This window comes from Homo sapiens, chromosome 1 (assembly GCF_000001405.40).
Source record: "Homo sapiens chromosome 1, GRCh38.p14 Primary Assembly".
Classification (NCBI taxonomy): Eukaryota; Metazoa; Chordata; class Mammalia; order Primates; family Hominidae; genus Homo; species Homo sapiens.
This window is the reverse complement of record NC_000001.11, coordinates 89,207,603-89,214,746: the sequence shown is the minus strand read 5'-3', so window position 1 is coordinate 89,214,746 and position 7,144 is coordinate 89,207,603.

The following is a 7,144-nucleotide window of genomic DNA, read 5'->3' as shown; positions in this document are numbered from 1 at the left end:
CATAAATAGTGCAAAAGAAAAAATTCTCCAGACTGAAAAACAAAAGAAAAAGAATTGGTAATATTTCAAACAAAAAAATCCATAAAATTATTTCAGTCTTCCCTTTATTCCGTCCGTGCAATCAACTCTTGCTCTGCTTCATATTATGTTAGCAAACTTTTTGAACATATTAGCCTTTTAATTAGAGTCCAGCAAGTTTTCTCTCTAATCCAGTGGCACCATCTCCAAAGCTATCAGAAACCTGCATTCAAGAGTCATTTTCATGAACTCCCCCAAAGAAGCAAGGCCCAGACTGCAGCTAATTATAAGTCACTTTTTGAGAAGAATCAAAGTAAAACAATTGTGGATGACAAAAGCCTTAGGACAACCATAGTGAGACACACAGTTGACATGGAACTTTGGTTATTTCTGTGGTGTACAATAATCTAACATAATAATCATAATTATTACTGACAACATATATTAATATATATAAGAATTTCAGGAATGTCATACAATCTTGGAACACATATTAACAATATTTCTATATAAATAAAACCCAAAGTTAAACACCACTTCAAATTTGACAATGCTTCCTGTATAATTCTAACATAAATAAACCTAATATGTCTTTCTTGGACTTCAGGAAACCTAATATCCAAAAAAAGTTAGTTTAAGGTCAAAAAGACTTAATTTGAACTTGAAATTTTGCTGTTGGAAAGTCTGTCAAATATCAAAGGTTTAAAACACTTGATATCACAAAATAGGATCACAAGATACCATAAAACAGTCATTCATTTTGCCAAAATTATGATACAAAAATGTTTTCTCTTTGATAGGAGACTCAGTTTCCTAAACAATAAGACCCAAGAAAGACAGCATGAGGCCAACTAAATCTGTGTTTCTCCCACCATTTTTTTCTTCTGTAGTTTTACTCAAAAGGCAAACAAAACTCTCTTATCTTTTACATGAAAATTTTGTTCAAAAGAGAAAGCCATATTTTACCTTTGTATGGTGTATTTTTAATGTTAAAGCTAACTTTAATAAAACCTTATCAACAAATCTATCTAATTTTAATTTTTTTGACCATAGGGTATTTCCATAAGTATTTTATAGCCTATTACAATTTTCTATTAAAGAGCAGATCAATGCTCCAAGAAAACCTCTGTTAGTCTGATGCAAGGCCCAGATGCTTGCATTAACGTGCTTTTGATATTAATGTTTAACTTACAGAAAACCTCTGAACTAATCTTACCCCTCAAAATCAGCCCTTACAATCTCACTTGCCAACCTCTTCTGCAATAGTCCCTGGGCCTAGGGGGATACCACAGTTTTAATTTCTGGTCCTGTGTCTCATGAAGGCAGTTCATTTTGATTGTCACCTTCTCCCAGGTCTGAAAATGAGGCTTTGAGTGATGTCAAAGCTTAAGATTCGGCAGAAGTCAGTGCCTTTTTCAGACCCAGGGGTCAAAGGCCTATAAGATAACAGCACAAGGATTAGTTAATAGAATATTTATACTATGGAAAGTTCTATCATTCTCTCTAACATATTACAAATTAAAACACTGTGATTTGGTATCTAACAGCTACTGCCTGTAGCACTTCAAACCACTGTATTAGAGTAGTTAGGTTACTCACTGCATATGTCTAATTGCTAGCACTCTAGTAACATAACTGTGACCAAAGGCATCAGAAATATGATAAGCTCTATGCCAAACTTATCAAAGTAAGACAAGTAACTTTCCTCTCCATCATTTAAAAGAATGGTAAGGGAAAAAAATCAGTTTGGGAAATTCAATATGAGGATGAATAAACAAACTGTTTGCATTTAAATATTATACAACAAAATATAAACAAAGTAAGGGTAAGCACACAGTAATGTCTCCTTCAGCTCTTTTAAAAGGGCATCATCACATATTTCCATGATTGCTTTCTAGATACAGTACTGACAAATGATTAGGTGACTTTGACCAATAAAATCTTCAAATCAGTGGAACACTAGCACATATTTTGTTTTCAAGTACACACATCAAGGCCCATGATAAATGGCTTGAGATCAAAGATCATTAGAAAGTCTCACATTGTTTTACTACTTCATCCAAGTGACTGTCACTTAATTTTAATAATGGTAAACACAACTAAGAGAGAAATTCCAATCAATATAATTTCCTTAAGGACAAAGCCAATCTTTCCTAAAACTTTGTACCCATATCACAGTTTTTCTTCATTAACTAAAGGAAAAGATCTGAAACCAACTCAATTTATTGGTTGAATTGAATTACCTTGAAAATAAACACCATTTAAACATTTTTATTCTCACCTACTTTTTCAAATAACAAAATTAATAAAGTACACTTAGTGCTCAGAACTTATAAAATTAAGTAATTTTTTTCCAGGAACCTTAAAGCTCCTGTAGCTCTCTAGATCATTAGAGGTAAGCAAATCTACCAAATTTTAAATGGCTGGTGTGCTTTATCAATATTTGCTTGACAAAGGCAGCTTAGGAATTCTAGATAAATAGATAAATAGAACAAATGATGATTTGTTAGAAATGTATAGGAAACAAAATGCATGGTCATAGAGCCAAATAAAAGCCTTCCATTAGAAACCAAAAAGCATCAATGGTTTTATATGTGTGTGTATATAAGTACAACCCAAAAGAGAACAAACAAAAATAAGTGAAAATTAAAAGCAAAAGCAAATAAACTGGAAACTAACCCCAAAGTTCTCTCCTACTCAGTTAACCTTGAAGGCTAAAGTGTTACTCAGAGCCAAAAATGAACACATAATAGGTATTTTGTTCCTGGTACACAAATTAATATCTTTAAGTCCACCAATACCACTATACATTGTGTGCAATTAAGAAGTTCACTTTAGGTGGCTGGGCATGGTGAGTCATGCCTGTAATCCCAGCACTTTGGGAGGCCGAGGTGGGAGGATCACAAGGTCAGGAGATTGAGACCACTCTGGCTAACATGGTGAAACTCTGTCTCTACTAAAAATACAAAAAATTAGCTAGGTGTGGTGGCGGGTGCCTGTAGTCCCAGCTACTCAGGAGGCTGAGGCAGGAGAATGGCCTGAACCCAAGAGGCAGAGCTTGCAGTGAGCCAAGATCGCACCACTGCACTCCAGCCTGGGTGACAGAGCGAGACTCCATCTCAAAAAAAAAAAAAACTGGTTCACTTTAGGCACCATGACCAGTAAGTATTTTAGTGCTAGTATATTCTATGCAGAAGAGCAAACACAGTATAAAACAAAGCAATGCAAGCATTTACATAAAATTTGGCTCTATGTTAAATCTGGGCTCATGCTTAACTATACTAAAAAGAATTACCAAACTACTAATATATTTCATTACAATATTTCTTAAGTTATCTTCACCAAGTTTAAGAACTTTGACCATGAGCAATGTTAATTAGCCAAATTTCTTCAAGTTTCTATCAGGTTTTAAAGAATATTTTACTATCTAAATTTTTTCAACTTTCTGTTTTCCCTGTATAAGCATGAAGGTAGACACACAGAGAAACAGGGAAGAAATGACATGTGACTTACCTAGATCATCTATGGCATGCTTAGACTTTCTGTTCTGTCCTAAATTTTCCTTTCTTTTTAAATAACCAGTCATTTCATTTTAGGACAAAAATACACCATATAAGATCCATTTTCATATAAAATTATTATCTTTTCTTTATAACCTTCATTATCAAAAATATATCCTCACATCCATAGCTTTCTTCACATCTCTCTCTGCTACTTACTAGTTCCTTTCTACCTTGTTTCATAAATAACTGTTTTAAGTCTATAAATTAGCCTTTAGATAACTTCTGAATTTGACAAAATAATTTTTTCTCAATAAGAGCTCAGCTTCTTTGGCATATTTTATATACAGAATTATATATTAACCATAATTCTTATCCTTAGTAACCTTAAATTTTAGTGAAACCCTAGGAAACAAGAAATCCTGAACTATCAGATATTAGCAATTTATAGATGAAAACAATTCCACAATCTTGGGAAACATATTTCCCATATCATAACCCTTTCTTAACTGGAAATTACTCAGGCATCTAATGAGCATCAAAAATAATTTTAAGATTTTACATTGCACAAGAAGTTCACCCAAGGTACTTATTCTTTATATTTTACTTTATTATTTTACTTTACTTATTTTTAGCATATCTAGATTATTTATGCATCACTTATTTCCTTGTTTACCATTTTATAACCTGTGAATATCAGGTGTTCACTTAAAGAAGAACCTTAAAGTTAACTGCATGGACATTTTAAGACATTTCTATTTTTATTTTACCTACAATTTTAAAGCCAACTTGTTCAGTAAAGATTCACTTAAGTCACATGAACTTGACAATTGCTTGGACTTATTTACTTAATTTATGAGTACTCTATTATTTATAAGTTAATTTGGTAGACACCATATACTACATAATAAATGTACATACACATAAACGCATCTAGACATGTATACATGCACACAAAGATCCAATACCTCTTACCTTGGTACTCTAGCCATGAGATAACAAAGAAACTCACCAGTCTACAAACATGTTCACATGGCTGAACTTTGTTAGCCCTGACCTGAGAGGTAATCCAATGAAAGCTATGAACCAAAATTTTGGGTAAGCAGTTTCTATGGCAGTTTGACTTTTAAAGGCCAAACCTCCCTAGACTCCAAAGAGCACTGAGGCCAAACAGCCCCACAGACAAACAACACCACAGACGAACAGCACCTGGAACCTACTAATCAGCCCAACCCTGCTTCAAACAGCAATATAAAAGCCTGAATACATGGAACGCCATCTTGCTTTCCCATTTAACATCAAACTTCAGATTCCAAAGAACACTGGGGCTAAACAGTATTAGAAAAGAATAGCAGTTTATCAATTTCTAATTTCCCATGACTATGTCAAACCCACACTATCACCAAAATACAATCCAACTGCTGCAGCAACAAACAAGCCACAAGAGTGTCCATAATGAAAGAGTCAGAGTGTTTCCCTCTCCCAGGCAGTTGGATTTGCTCAACCTGCAAATGGAAATACCCTTTAAAATTTTCCCTAGGTGAGAGGAGGAGATCCTGCTGTGTGGGCCCTCAAAGGACACTCACCTATCTGGATGCAGATGTCAAATTTCAGAGGCAATTCTTCCTAGACAATCAGGAACTTGGTTGGGTCTGGCTGTGGCAGGACCAGAGAGAAACCAAAACTCACTTCCAGCCAGAAATGGGCAGGCAGCTGCTTAGCAGGGCTTCTGAGACTCATAGCCTTCAGCAGCGGAGCCACAAGCAAGGTGTTCCCAGTCAGGGAACCAAATTCTGTTATGGAAACACCATGGGTTCAGTCTAGGTTCTGCTGCTCATCACACAGAAAGCCAATCACTGACACAACAAGGAACAGTCTTCCTTGGCAATAATCATCTGATGATTGCCTTTCTGTGCAGCAATCAGCAAGACTGAGACCAAACCCCTGGTGTTTCTGTAACAATCCCAGGACAGCTCTGGGCTCCTCTTGCCTGACATCATCCATGTGTTCCCTCCCTATCACCTCTTCCCATTGGGTCAGCTCTTGCCTATTTGTCCTCTTTATGGGATATGCTCTGCACTTGCTTGCATCCATGAGAACAGTGTCACTGTTTCTGTCCGAAGTCAGTCTTTAATCTTCATTTGGAATTCCATCCTCCCTGTCTTCTTAGACAGCTGATTTTTAAAAAATCAAATACTCATATATCACTTAGTATGTAAAAGTATATGTGTTAGATGTTGGTAAGAGTTGTGGGGAAAAATAAGTGGGAGATGGGGATATAGAGTGTTGGGGGTTGCATTTATATATAGGATGGTCAGGGAAGGTGTCTTTGAGAGATGCAATGGAGGGATCAGTGACCTTGATGAGAATAGATTTCATGTATTGTTGGGAGCAGGAACCAGTGCAGGAGTGACAGTGAGAGAAGCAAGAGAGATAAAAAACGTAGCTCTCTCTCAATACAGAGCTGAACCTGTCTTTACAGTGCCTAGACAGAGATTTTTGTTCAGGAATTAATGTATCTAACTGGAAGAAAAGTATACTGTTTTTAGGCTGGCAAAGAAGAAAGCTGGTAGTGAGGGAGTATGATGGTCTGTCTAAATGGCATAGAGCCCTACATTTGGGAAAAGCTCTACTTTGATTGTTTTCATCTCAGTGGGTAGGCTGTTTCTTGACACCAAGACACATATAGGCTTATTGTTTTCATCTCAATGGGTAGAGTGTTTCTTGATACCAAGAGATGGATAACCTTCAAAACACTTTGTCTGTTCATTTTCTCTAAAATATGCTAAGCATCTTTCATGTGTCCTCAAACTGCTTCCAGCCTTCTGCCTAAGGTGGGGTTGCTTTGTACAGTCATTCAGGCCATCCTGGTGCTTAATGGGAAGGGATCTGAGCAGAGTCTTCCTACAAGTCAAAGCCGAGGTCTCTAGGAACATCTGAGCTTCTTCTACTTCACCAGAGGGAGGTGTTTTCACTATAGAGGGAGGTGTCATTGTTGTGAGTCTGTGTAATATCTAAGTAGAGCTCTGTATCACCTGGAGCAAGTGAATGGTAGTATGCATACCAACCCTCTTACCTCATTTGAAACACTGAATGAAATATTTAACAGTAACCAAGCATAACTTTTGGATAAAGAATGGCTCCCTGCATAATTTTTCGGCATTATATTTTCTCTCCACATTTTGTTAGAATAAACAATATGGTCCATCTTTTTTTCTTTTAAGGAACTAATTTTTTCATTACATGCTTAACATTGAGATACTTTTGCGCCTGTATTTTTTATTTTTTGACATCTACTCAGCTACGCAAGATGAAATACTGGAAGTCTTTCTTGATATTTCTTTTTCACTTTAATAATAATAATTGTATATTATGTTTTTCTCACTTTTAACACTCTCCTTGAAACATTTTTACTTAGCCTGCTTCTGCTTATTCTTATCTCTATCTTCTGCTTCTGTGCCACTTTAGAAACTTCTGTTGACTCATTCTTCCTTCAATCTATATTAGTTCACCATTCTTTTTACTTTGACACCATATTATGCATATATCTATCATGGCACTTTTCCTGCTTATAAGGCAACCAGTGATTTATTGTCTTTTTTGTCCAATATACCATAAGTTCTTGA